The following is a 14,579-nucleotide window of genomic DNA, read 5'->3' on the forward strand; positions in this document are numbered from 1 at the left end:
TGTGAAAGGCAAAGGGAGAAGTAGGCACATCTCCCACGGCCACAGCAGGAGAAAAAGAGAAAGAGCGGGAGGTGCTACACACTTTTAAACAACCAGATCTCACAAAAACTCACTCACTCACTATCACAAGAACAGCCCCAAGGGCATGGTACTAATTCATTCATGGGAACTCCACCATTATGATTCCCACCAGGCCCCTCCCACCAGGCCCCACCTCCAACACTGGGGATTACAATTTGACATGAGATATGGTAGGGACACAGATGCAAACCATGTCATTTTGCTGATGGCCCCTCCAAATCTCTTGCTCTTCTCATATTGCAAAATACAATCATGCCTTCCCAGCAGTCCCCCCAAATCTTAACTAATTCCAGCATTAACTCAAAAGTCCAAAGTTCAAAGTCTCATCTGAGACAAGGCTAATCCCTTCTACCTATGAGCCTGTAAAATAAAAAAGAAGTTAGTTACCTACAAGATACAATAAGCGTATTAGCATTGGGTAAGTACTTCTGCTCCAAAAAGGAGAAATCAACCAAAACAAAGGGGATCCAGGCCCCATGCAAGTCTGAAACCCAGCAGAGCAGTCATTAAATCTAAAAGCTCCAAAATAATCTCCTTTGAGTCCATGTCTCACATCCAGGCCACACTGATGCAAGGGGTGGGTTCCCAAGGCCTTGGGAAGCCCTGCCCCTGTGGCTTTACAGGGTTTAGCTGCCACAGCTGCTCTCATTGGCTGGCATTGAGTGTCTGTGGCTTTTTCAGGAGTGTAGTGCAAGTTGTTGGTGGCTGTGTCATTCTGGGACCTGGAGGACAGTGGCCCTCTTCTCACAGCTACATTAGGCAATGCTCCAGTGAGGACTCTGTGTGTGCACTCCAACCCCACATTTTCCCTCCACATTGCCCTAGTAGAAGTTCTTCCTGAGGGCTCTCCCCTTGTAGCAGCCTTCTGCCTGGACATCCAGGTGTTTTCATACATCTTCTGAAATCTAGGCAGAGGCTCTGAAGCCTCAACTCCTGCACTCTGTACAACTGCAGGCTTAACGCTGCATGGAAGCCACCAAGCTTATGGTTTGCACCTTGTGGAGCAGTGGCCCAAGCTATATCTGGGCCCTTGTGAGCCACAGCTGGAATTGGAGCTGTAGCAGCTGGGATGCAGTGAGCATTGTCCTCAGACTGTGCAGGGCATCAGGACCCTGGGCCTGTCCCACAAAACCATTCTTCTCTTCTAGACCTCCGGGCTGATGATGGGAGGGGCTGCCAGGAAGGCCTCTGAAATGCCTTGGAGGCCATTTCCTTTCTGTTGTCTTAGCTATCAGTACTTGGCTTCCTTTTAGTTATGCAAATTTCTGCAGCCTGCTTGAATTTCTCCACAGAAAATCGGCTTTTCTTTTCTACCACATGGCCGGGCTGCAAATTTTCCAAACTTTTATTCTCTGCTTCTTTTTTAAATATAAGTTGCCAGTTTCAAGACATTTCTTTGCTCACACATATGAGATAAGGCTGTTAGAAGCAGGCAGGCTACATCTCGAACACTTCACTGCTTTCATATTTCTTCCACCACATACCCTAAATCACCACTCTCAAGTTTAAAGTTCCACAGATCCCTAGAACAGGGACACCATGCACCCAACCTCTTTGCTAATGCATAACAAAAGTGACCTTTGCTCCAATTCCCAATAAGTTTCTCATTTCCATCTGAGACCTCCTCAGCCTGGACTTCATTGTATATACCACTATAAGCATTTTGGTCACAATAATTTAACAAGCCTCTAGGAAGTTCCAAATTTTACCTCATCTTCCTATCTTCTGAGCCCTCCACACTGTTCCAACCTCTGCCTGTTACACAGGTCCAAAACTACTTCCACCTTTTCAAGTATCTTTGAAGCAATGTCCCACTTCTTGGTACCAATTTTCTGTATTACTCCATCCTTGTATTGCTATAAAGAAATAACAGAAGCTGAGTAATTTTTAAAGAAAAGAGGTTTAGTTGGCGTATGATTATACAGGCTGTACAGGAAATATGATAGCCTCTACTTGGTTTCTGAGGAGGCCTCAGGAGACCTATAATCATAGTGGAAGGTGAAGGGAGAAGCAGGAATGTCTTACGTGGCTGGAGCAGGAAAGAGAGCATGGGGGTTGCAGGGGTAGGCACTACACACTTTAAAGCAACCAGATCTCACAAGAACTCCCTCATTCACTATCACAAGAACAGCAGTAAGGGCATGGTGCTAACCCGTTCGTGAGAACTCCATCTCTGTGATCCAATCACCTCCCACCAGGCCTCACATCCAACACAGGGGATTACAATTCAACATGAGATTTGGTGGGGACACAGATCCAAACCATATTATAAATCTAATAAGAAGTTAGCCAAAAACAGTAGAAATTTTGAAGAATATACAAGTATTATTTAATTTATCCTTTTTATTTTCCAGTTTATATATGCTTTATAATATACACAATATAGTAGTATATTAGTAGACTATAATTAAGTAGATGTGTGTAATATGAATGTGTTTAGTAGTTAACTGATATTGTTTATAATGAAGCAACTTCTAAGCCATTAGTCTATAAGTTTTATGAGCTTGTTTGTTCATATTTATCACTTAGTACCTAGCAATTAAGTCATGTACAGAATCTCTCAAAGCCAGGCCAGATGCTGTTTTCTTTATTGTATACCACAATTCTAAAGACCCCTGTTTTTTGGAATAGAGTAGATTAGTATAATAGTCAATTCAGCCGAAGTAGTTAGTATGCAGATATTGTGATAGAATTAGTGTGCTCATTGTATACAATGCATCATGCCATGGCCAAGCAGTGTGCCAGGGCAGAAATAACACTATGTGACTGAGAGCTGAGAGCTGTAAGGGAGTGAAAGAGCAGGCATATAAGAAAAATGCAAGAATGCAGAAATTAATGCATTATTATGGAACTAGTTATTTCTTGTCCTTCATGGCCAACTTGATAATAGGAGGATATAATTAGGCAGCTGGTTATGATGGAATTGTGAGAGGTCACCTATACGCAAGCTGAAGGGTCAGAATGAACATTGATAGTTGAGGTGCAAAAAACTATTTTAGGGAGGATCCGTAAAGCTGAAATCCTAAAGAAAAATTGAGTCAGAAAACAAAATGGATAACTGACTAGCAGAGACAAAAGCAGATGTAGAATCCAGGGTTGGAGCTAAATAGGTAATCAGAACTAAGAAGTCAGATACTGACTTGTATGGAAGCATGAGGGCAGCTCTTGTTATTTTGGTTAAGCTGTTAGTCTCAGAGAATTTTCACTGGCCCAGTTGCAAATAATATATAAGTTAGATTTTTAAGAAACATGGTTAAACCACATTCTTCTTCCTGACATCTTTTGAATTGCCATAATCTTACTAAAATAGAATTCAGGTTAAAGCAGTATGGTAACAAATATATACAGTTATAGGTAAAGATTTGCTGTTATTAAAAGAATAAAATATTTAGGCTATTTTCAAAGATCTCCGATAAAATGTTCCCAAACTGCTTTTCTGGACTTATTATTTATTTTATGTTTCAAAATACTTTGGAGTCAAGCCACTCCTGACTAGAAGTATTTATTCATGCAAAACATGCATATTCAGGTGTCTATATTTCAGTGCCTATGCGTTTGATCTCTGTAGTATAATAAAGAATTTGGCTGGTCTCCATCCCCAGTTTATGAGAAGTAGCCTCAAAATCCTTGGAATTTCCTGAGTGACAGGAGTGTTTATGGTATTCATGGTAGACCTTGTTTATACTAGTGAGGTAACTCATGGTGGACTCTACATGTTTTATACTAATGAGATGACTCGGGACAGGTACTGGCAACACCAGAAAGACCAACCATGTGATGAGAGGATTGGGACTTTGATATTAGCTCAATATCTGGGGAGCATAAAGGGGTCAGAGATTTGGTTTAATCACATGGACAGTGATTCAATCAATCTTGCCTATGTGATGATACTCCAACAAAAACTCTGGACAAACCTCAGGTGAGTCCCCTGGTTAGCAAGTCTCTATGCACTGTCATACATCAATATGCTGGAAGGGTATCCTGACTCCATGGGGAACAAAATGGAAGCTTTGCTTTTCAGACCCTTCGAAACCTCATTCTATGCCTCATTCCCTTTGGCTAATTATATTTTTGTATCCTTTTACTATAATAAAGCTATAATCATAAGTATAGCACTTTCCTGAGTTGTGTGAGCTGTTCTAGTAAATAATTAAGCCTGAGGGGTTCGGGGGAATCCAGTAATTGTAGCCAGCTGGTCAGAGTACGAGTGTCCTGGGGACCTCTGAATTTACAGCTATTATATAAGGTAAGGGCAATCTTGTGCCCTCAATCTATGAAATTTGGCTACTATGGTTAATTGGCACCAGCAGTCACTGAAGTCTCTGTTTTCAAATGGCCCTTCCTTCACTTATTTACACAAAGCAGTGGTTCTCAAAGTGTGGTCCCTGGACCAATAGCATCAGTATTTCCTAGAAACCTGTTAGAAGTAAAACTTATCTGGTTCCACCTCAGACCTACTAAATCAGAAACTCCAGAGGTGGGACAGGAAATCTGTTTTATTAAGCACTCTAAGTGATTCTGATAAATATTGTATTTAAGAACCATTGAAATAAAGAAACTTTACTCAACCTTCTGATGGGAGTTGAGGCCCGCCTGGAGTGGCCACTACCAAGATGCTGGCTGCAGCAGGGGAGGCGTGGCTAAGGCTGCATGTTCCGCAGAGCTGTTGGGGGCTAGGAACTGGGTGCAGCTGCAGCCACCCAGCTGTGGCTTTGGACCCGGGCATCCCTGTGCCTTCGGGGGGCCTGAAAACCCCCACCCCCACTCCTGCAGGCTCAGAAGTGCTTGCTTCTGCTCTCTGGCCTCACCCATCTCCTGGCACATGGTTCAGTGCAGAGCAAAGTTGTGGTCGAACCTGGGCACTGTCATGACCTGGCTGGGTGTGTACATGCTTGGGGCAGCACAGACATGCCAGCCCCCTGCTGCCTTGTCCCCCTCTGGACTTTGGGTGCCACTGATCCTGGGAAGGAGGTGGGGGATGGTGAGGGCAGCTCAGTGCATGCCTGCAGGTACCCCTCAGCATGAACAGCCTAGTGCCATAGATGGCATGTTGATGGCAAAAGGCAGATGGGCTCCTGGGCAGAAAGGGGTGGGTCCCTGGTGAAACCCCACCTTTAAGCCAGAAACAGCTTGAAGCCTGGGGCCTGGGCTGCCATTTCCAGATTAAGTCCTTGGCCTAGGGTGAGAACTTATAGTGCTCTTTCTGGGCCTGTCCATAGCTGCCCATGGACCAGTAAGCACACATTTACTCCCTCTGACCCCATAAAAACCCAGACTCAACCAAACTCAGACAGACATCAGGACTACCAGCTGCAGGAAGAAGCTACCCATTTCAGGTCTCCTGAGAGCTGTTCCGTTGCTCAGTGACACCCCTCTCCACCTTGCTTACCCTCTAGTTGTCCATGTACCTCATTCTTCCTGGATGTGGGACGACAACCCAGGATCTGCCAGATGGTGGGACTGAAAGACCTGTAATGCAAACAGCTGAAACATGCCCCCCACTCACCACATTGCTGATGATGAGGAGAAAAGAGCTGCAGCCCTTAAACGAGCCCAGACCTAGGAGCTCCCTGAGCCAGGGCTGTGATACTGTCTTTGGGGCTCTGTGATTCCTGGTGTCTGCAAGCTTCTGGGAGCCACCATGTTCCCCAGTACCCACAGTGGAAGCTGTTTGTGGTACACCTGGTCCATCCACAGCCTCGCATGGTGCTGGCACCTGTGGCAGCACCTGGAGCTGCCTACCACACTGCAGCCAGCAAATGCCTGCTCGTGTACAGTGGCTGGACCCCACACATGCCCACACACCCCTCGCTGCTCTCTGTGCCTGTCTCACCCTTGGCAGGTGTGGGATCCAGGCCGGTAGCATGAGCTGAGCATAGCCTGTCAGGCCAAGTGGGCTGAAAGAGCCCAGCAGGCCTGAGCAAAACTTGGGCAAAGATGCCACCAGCCACAGAGGTTTCTAGCTGGAAAAATGACACCCCAAGGATCCCATGACACTTCCATGACAATCACATTTCCCTTCCTGCAATGAAAACTTCCCAGACTTACAAACCTGGCATCCCCGCATGAGCTCCCTGATCTAATAGATGTATTCTAATACAGCAGTTCCCAAATTTTGTTTCCAAGACAATCTTAAACTTCTGGAAAATCCCAAAGAGCCTTTGTTTACATGGACTATATTTACTGTATCAGAAATTAAAACTGAGATAATTGTAAAATATTTATTTTAAAATCTATTTAAAATAACAACAATGAACTGAATATGTGTTGGTATAAATAATTTTCTGTGTGTAAAAAAAAAAAAGTCGCTGTTTTTCAAAACAAGTGAGAAAAATGGCATTGGTTTTTATTTTTGCAAATCTCTTTAATGTCAGCCTTAATAGAAGACAGTTGGATTCTCATACCAGTTTCTGGATTTAAAGTGTTGAAATATGTTGTTCTAGTTGAATTATATTAATAAAAATTATCTCACATTGATATGTAGTTGAAAAAGTGAGAAATATGTTAATAACCTTTGTAGATTATTGTGAATATTATTTTATTACTATTACAAAAATTGACAAGGGTAGTTTTTTTTAAAGGTTAGCTGCAATGTGAAATTTGAAATTATATCAATGAAATCTTTGCACTCTGCTACATTAAAATCTTTTCGTCTCTCTTGCACTTTGAACACATATTTTACAATGCATTGTTTTGTAACATCATGCTTCGTCATTTAGAAAATATTCATTCATTGAGTTAAATGAATGTCCTTGATGTTGACACATTTTATTAGACAATATCAAAATCACAGTTGTTAATGTTACCATTGTTCTCAGAAAAAACTTTAAGTGTTGGGAAGCCCTCAAGTAAACGGTGGCAGAAACAAATTTCCAAAATTCTAATTTTTTGCTTGAAAGCTCAGATTTTATCTTTGGCAACAAACCCTGAGTTTTCTTTGAAATGACAGACTCACTTCCTTCATATCCAAGAAACTGCCTGCCAAATACCCAAATCTAAAACACCAGTCTGCCAGTCATTCTTTCAAGTAAAAATGGCTTTTCATGGGAAAAAAAAAAAGACAGCTTGTTTAGCTCCTGACTCAATCACACATGTGCTTTTCCTTGAGACAACTATCATACTTTGGTATGAAGCAGAAGTGGTTTATTCATACTTTCCATTTAATCACAGAGAACATTTAAAAAATATGTACTCAAGGGTTAAGATTTTTTTTAGAAGCAGGGTCTCCTGACTTCTTAATGATTGCCATTCTAACTGGTGTGAGATGGTATCTCATTGTGGTTTTGATTTGCATTTCTCTGATGGCCACTGATGATGAGCATTTTTTCATGTGTTTTTTGGCTGCATAAATGTCTTCTTTTGGGAAGTGTCTGTTCATGTCCTTCGCCCACTTTTTGATGGGGTTGTTTGTTTTTTTCTTGTAAATTTGTTTGAGTTCATTGTGGATTCTGGATATTAGCCCTTTTTCAGATAAGTAGGTTGCGAAAATTTTCTCCCGTTTTGTAGGTTGCCTGTTCACTCTGATGGTAGTTTCTTTTGCTGTGCAGAAGCTCTTTAGTTTAATTAGATCCCATTTGTCAATTTTGGCTTTTGTTGCCATTGCTTTTGGTGTTTTAGACATGAAGTCCTTGCCCATGCCTATGTCCTGAATGGTAATGCCTAGGTTTTCTTCTAGGGTTTTTATGCTTTTAGGTCTAACATTTAAGTCTTTAATCCATCTTGAATTGATTTTTGTATAAGGTGTAAGGAAGGGATCCAGTTTCAGCTTTCTACATATGGCTAGCCAGTTTTCCCAGCACCATTTATTAAATAGGGAATCCTTTCCCCATTGCTTGTTTTTAAGAGGATGTGGAGAAATAGGAACACTTTTACACTGTTGGTGGGACTCTAAACTAGTTCAACCATTGTGGAAGTCAGTGTGGCGATTCCTCAGGGATCTAGAACTAGAAATACCATTTGACCCAGCCATCCCATTACTGGGTATATACCCAAAGGACTATAAATCATGCTGCTATAAAGACACATGCACACGTATGTTTATTGCGGCATTATTCACAATAGCAAAGACTTGGAACCCACCCAAATGTCCAACAATGATAGACTGGATTAAGAAAATGTGGCACATATACACCATGGAATACTATGCAGCCATAAAAAATGATGAGTTCATGTCCTTTGTAGGGACATGGATGAAATTAGAAATCATCATTCTCAGTAAACTATTGCAAGAACAAAAAACCAAACACTGCATATTCTTACTCATAGGTGGGAATTGAACAATGAGAACACATGGACACAGGAAGGGGAACATCACACTCTGGGGACTGCTGTGGGGTGGGGGGAGGGGGGAGGGATAGCATTGGGAGATATACCTAATGCTAGATGACGAGTTAGTGGGTGCAGTGCACCAGCATGGCACATGTATACATATGTAACTAACTTGCACATTGTGCACATGTACCCTAAAACTTAAAGTATAATAATAATAAATAAATAAATTAAAAAAAAAAAAAAGAAGCAGGATCTCACTTTATTGCCCAGGCTGGAATGCAGTAGCACAATCATAGTTCACTGTAACTTAGAACTCCTGGGCTCAAACAAAACTCCCACCTTAGCCTCCTGAGTAGCTGAGAGTATAGGTGTGGTGCGGGCCACTATGGCTGGCTAATTTTTAAAATTTTTGTAGAGACAGGATCTCACTATATTGCCCAGGCTAGACTTAAACTACTGGCATTAAACAATCCTCTTGTCTTAGCCTCCCAAAGCACTGGGATTACAGGTCAGGATTTAATAAAACTAGTTATTTTTACATTTTATTTTATTTTAAGTTCTGGGGTATGTGTGCAGGATGTGCAGGTTTATTACATAGGTATCCAGGACATTCTTAAGAGAAATTTCTCTCTCTTTCTCTCTCTTTCTTTCTCTCTCTTTCTTTCTCTCTCTCTCTCTCTGTATCTCTCTCTCTCTCTCTCTCCTTTCTCCTCCAAGTGTGTGGCAGTAAGAATACAATAATCAAAGGTACAGAACAATTTGGTGTCACAGATGATATTCCTGCTAAAGCACCAGCAGTTTCACACACCATGGCTTCTGAATCATCTATGCAAATGTCAACATAGTGAAAAGAAGCAGATAACATCTCAGTGTAATTATGAACAGTATTTTGACCTCATGGTGCCTCTGAAAGGGTTTCAGGGACCCCCAAGGCTCTGTGGACTCACTTTGAGAACCACTGATCAAATAGAAACCCCTATTGCTTAGTTGTGCTTACACTAGAATAGAGCTTTTTGGGGTCAGGGATTTTATCTTTTCATCATTTTATTTAAAAAGCCTAGAAAGGCGTTCAGTTCAAAAAGTGCAATATAAATATGTAATGAACACATCAATTTAATGCTCACTATATTTGAAGCTTATTCTGTACTGTTTTGCTTTTAGTCTTCCCCTAGTAAGTGTCTATTAGCCAAAGTGGCTGATAAAAAAAGCAAAAAACAACTGAAAAAAACCCAGACTATATAAAGTATGCCTCTTAGAAGGCTTCCCTCTGCATGTGGAGATATCCTAAAAAAATACGTAGTCATAAGAAATTGGCTCTAATTCCACAGGGACACTAATCTTCAGAAATTAGGATATGTTTCTGAAGCACACTCTAGTAATTTCACCATCAGTAAGCCCTAAACTGAGATTCAGCTTTTCCATGGAAACCTCTTTAACAAGTGATGAAAACATATTCTTTCCCTTTTTCTTTCTTTCACAAAAGCTTTCTTTAAAAAGGTAGTGTGGAGAGTAATTATAAAACATTTAATGTCCACTTACGCTTTCGAGTACTGTTTATCTTTTTTCAAAATTACCTGCTTCTTATTTCAAGTATTAGTCACTGTGAATAACATAATAGTATTTCTCACAGTAACTCTATTTATTTCTCCTGTAAAGAACTTGTCAATGGTAAGCATAACACCTACCTCAAAAACTGCTACCCAAGAGCAAATGCCTCCACACCTTTGAACATGCAGTTTTCTCTGCAAAGAATATTCTCTCTCCTTTTTCTGATAGGCAAAACCTTACCATTCCATTTAAGCTCCAGCTAAAAATTTACCTCCTGTCTATGGCCTTTCACTCTTCCCCATATGCAAATTAAATTATGCCTCTGTTCTCCCCTGTGATTTATACATACCCTACTACAGTATCTTACAACACTTATCACAACAGATTTTAGATCTTAATTTATTAGCAGGAATTCTGTAATTTTCAGCTTTGGATCCCCAGGACCATATATGGTACCTGGAACAGAGTAGCTGTTTAGAAAATAGCTTTTGGGGTTATTGGTTTTAAAAAAGGAAACATAATTATCTTGTTGAGAGAATTGCAGTAATGTTGTTTTATCTTCTCATTATCACTAATATACCATGACACATGCCCTAGTACAACATTCATGCCTAAGAGAAACTGTAGATTTCACAAATGCTGTATAAATCTTGCCTGGAGTAAATGCAGAGAAATAAAGCAGCAAGAAAAAATAATGAAAATCAATTAAAATCTTCAGTGTTTTTCAGAAACTTCAAGGAAAGGGTGCATTCCTAAAGAGAAAAGGAAGAACAGAAAGGAAGGCCAACTTTCTTCAAGGAAGGAGTGCATTCCTAAAGAAACAGCCCTCAGCCCTACTCTGCTACTCAAAGTGTGGTCCCTATCACTGGCAGCTTGGTAGAAATGCAAAATACCAGATTCCACTTCCAAACTCTGCATTTTAACAAAATCTCCAGGAGATTTGTATGTTCATTAATGATCAAAAAGCACCAGTCTAACATCTTAAAAGTCTCCTTCATTCATATCTCTCATTTTAAAGGCAACTTAATAGCAGCTATCATATTACTGATCTCTTAGTGCTTTGTGATTCTGAATTTCTGTCAATGAGTAACAGATAAATTTCTGAAAAAGAAAACAAATCCTCAACTACCCCTATTCTCCTAAAAGGGAAGAAAGGACAGTGAAGATGAGAACAAAAGGGTCCTGAGGAGGATAAGGAAGAATAAAAGCAGCAGAGGGAAGACGCTTGTAGAAGGTAGGAGTCTGGAATGTCTATGATTTGTATGGCCAGTGAAAAAAGAGCACAAAGCTTATTTTCTTTAACTGTACACTCTTGAACACTCTTGAAGAAAACTACTTAATTTGTTAGAATTGAAATTACACATATTCAAGTTTTTGGAAATAATATTAATTAAAATTGCTATTGCTGTTGGTAAAAATAAGATCACATATTAGAAAAAACACTTTAAGGTCTCTGATCTTTAAAGACTATATTAATGCACTATATATTTATTATAGTTGTTTTATTTCACCTTGCCTGTATATGATGTGATCTAGCAACTCAGAGGGGTCTTAAAAAAGGTGTTTTTCTCTAAATTTATTAAACTGTTCTTTGTGGCTCTAACTCACTATGTGAAATGGTCTAGATGTTGGAGGAACGGCCTGGTGGGAGGTGAATGGATCATGGGGGCAGATTTCTCCCTTGCTGTTCTCATGATACCGAGTGACTTCTCACGAGATCTGGTTGTTTAAAAGTGGGTGGAACCTCCCCCTTCACTCCCTTCCTCATTCTGAAGCCATGTAAGACATACCTCCTTTCTCTTACCCTTTTTCCATGATTGTAAGTTTCCTGAGGCCTCACCAGCCATGCTTCCTGTACAGCTTGTGGAACCATGAGCCAATTAAACCTCTTTTCTTTATAAATTACCCAGTCTCAGGTAGTCCTTCATAGCAACAGAAGAATGGGTTAATACACTATGCTTAGCAAGCAACATGAACTTCAAGAAAAGTTAAGTACAGACGACCTAAGATGCCTCATATGTTACTTTTTCACAATTGAAGCAGGGTTGTTGTTGTTGTTGTTGTTGTTTGCATATATTTGTAGTGTCAGCTGAAGAACGACAGGGGTCATAAATTTGGAAAAGAGAGCTCTATTTCTCATGCACGTTGCAGCCTGCAGGGTGGTCACTCTGACAGGCTGGGAAGTGCAGCCTCTGGTCAGAAGCCAGAAACTGGCCCTTACAATCCCAAGCCCACCCCTTTGGTGATAGTCTCTGGGAGCATGCTTGGATAGTTTTAGCAGCACAGCATTGGCAATGAAAAGCAGATAGGGTCCAGTGGGATTTCAAATTAGGGAGCTATACAGGCCTTAGGTGAATCATCTTTAGTCTTCAGGATATCATGATTCCAGTTTATCTGGAAGAAGTAAAACAAGAGATTAAGTAACATTAATAATTTGAACACTAGAAGAGAATGTGTGTGCCAGAATAGAAAATGGAACCTATTTTATTAGGTAGCTAAGTCATGAAAATCTTAACCTGTTTCAGCTTTGAAGACTTATTGTAGCAAATAGTAAGAACCCAAAAACAAAGGTTCGGCTGGAATCTAGCATCAGGTGTGTTACAGTTTTCCTTTGAAACACTATTCTCTCTTCCTATAATCTTTCTCAACCAAGGAGAAATAATAATAAGACCAATTTATATACAAAATAAGTTTTAGGCTTATTATATTAGGCCTCATTATTTGCATAATGTGCCACACGAATAGTCATTGGCCATGTAGGCTCTTTTTAAAGTTAGTTTTGCTGGAAATTTGCCTGAAAATATGTTGTTCTGGTCAAAGCCTTGGTAAAATAACCAGCATCTCCAATTGTGACCTGTTTCAAAAGAAAACACATTCTTACTGAATTTATGCAAATAACTATATTGCCATAAAATAAGAATACTCACAAGTAATTTCCACATTTTGGAGAACTCAATTAGAGAGAAAGGTAAATTCTGTTCACAAAAGTACACTTTACAATCAGAGTAGCAGCCTTCTGAACAGGATGTTGTCCATTCACCTTGGAACTGCCATCCACAAACCAAGCAACCCTTTGTCAGTCAGGTGAGAGCTGTTTATCAGGCACGGTAGGAGCCAGCAGCTCCTCCCCAGGTTCCAGAGTCAGTCCTAGAGAAAAAGAGGCTCCCTGCTCATGAGTATCTCCTTTTGAATTCCCCAGGCAGGATGATCCTATATAAACTATTCCCATTTTATGATGGAACCCTCTGGACACTGCTATCCCTCTTACAGTGTTTCTCTGACATCATCCCAGACAGCATGGGTATTTCAGATGTCAGATCATTTTATGTCCTCCAGTGACAGGGATGGTTTCAGTTAATGTCCCATAGCAAGGCAGTAAATTCTTCTCAAGTGGAAATTCTCTAGTTCAAAGTCCCATTAGTTGTCTTTGGGAAGCACTCACAGGGTTTTGCCATAAGCCCCAGTAAACATTCCTCAAAGGGCTATTAAGTGGAGAATTTGTCCCTACCAGCACTTCAGCTTCTACTCTACACCCTGTGAGCTTGGAAAATTTTACTGGTTCTCATTTAGCATGTCTAATTAATATTGCTTGAAGGGCAGATTTATATATCTTCTGTTTTATAGTATCAGGTAAGTGAAACATCCTCCAGTCAAATACAATATCTATTTTCCTAAAGCCTTTAGGTAAAGGAGTCAAGACTACTTCATGTTAAGCTTGTTTAAACATTCCAACTTCGATAATCCTATCAGCCCTTACATTTTTATGTTCTGGTCCCAAGAAACTTTTTCTTTTCACCCCCAGACCATTTTATCCTCTCTGGTGAAAAAGGATTTGGGTTCCCAGCAGGGGGTTGAGCTGAGACTTTGGCCCTTTTGTCAATCTTTATCTGGATTAACCTGCCTCAATATTGCCTCAGGCAATTTTTGGTCAGCTTTCTCATTGCAATCTTTGCCTTTGGATTTCTTAAAAAATAACATCTCTCTGGGGTAAAGACAGAAAACTGGTTTGGAGCCCTTTAATGTTGGGAGACCAGCAGGAGCTCCCTTTGGTCCACCCAACCTTCAGTGGTGTTATACTAAAAGCTTTGTTTTAACCTCATAAATTTCCATTTTATTTATATCATTTCTTAATATCCCTCTAAAGATTTTCCCTGCCCTGGGACAAGTCCCATGACTCTCCTCCTTCTTTTCCATTTTTTGCGTTAATTACCCTAATGTTTTATTAGCATCTGTAAGACCTATGAGGGGAAGCTGAGACAGCAAATTTGATAAGGCTTCCCAAACTGTTGTGCCATGGAGAAGGGGCCCCCTCAACCACAGCATTTATCACCTGGGTAAGAGGCATATTTAATGGGCTAATATCCCAGTCATTATACAGCCAGTCCCCCATGGTTTGTATATGAAACGTATCAGCTGCCTCATCTGGGGTGCTCCACTTGGCATTTATAAGGGAGTTGGTAGTCCCCCTTCTCGGGATAAATAGATATTACAGTGGCTTTTATCCAGTTCACCCAGCTGGCTGCCCCCTCAGGATTAACCTCCTGTGTGTCTCAATTACACATACCGGTCCACGATTGTTCAATAGTGAGCTGTGGGTTCTGCATCAACTCAAACATGTTTTTCCACTCTGCAGCATTTAAAATCAAAGATATTGCCCCTAAGTTAGCTACACTCACAGT

At 40.6% G+C, this 14,579-nt stretch overlaps 2 annotated features.

Annotated features, from left to right (window-relative positions):
• Window positions 967-1,581: an enhancer, noted in NCBI's record as "NANOG-H3K27ac hESC enhancer chr2:166279515-166280129 (GRCh37/hg19 assembly coordinates)". NCBI's record gives its function as "activates a minimal SCP1, AML or CMV promoter by ChIP-STARR-seq in naive H9 embryonic stem cells {active_cell/tissue: H9 hESC(naive)}" and the evidence as "EXISTENCE:reporter gene assay evidence [ECO:0000049][PMID:30033119]".
• Window positions 4,456-5,391: an enhancer, noted in NCBI's record as "H3K4me1 hESC enhancer chr2:166283004-166283939 (GRCh37/hg19 assembly coordinates)". NCBI's record gives its function as "activates a minimal SCP1, AML or CMV promoter by ChIP-STARR-seq in primed H9 embryonic stem cells {active_cell/tissue: H9 hESC(primed)}" and the evidence as "EXISTENCE:reporter gene assay evidence [ECO:0000049][PMID:30033119]".

The sequence above is a fragment of the Homo sapiens genome, chromosome 2 (assembly GCF_000001405.40).
Source record: "Homo sapiens chromosome 2, GRCh38.p14 Primary Assembly".
NCBI lineage: Eukaryota > Metazoa > Chordata > Mammalia > Primates > Hominidae > Homo > Homo sapiens.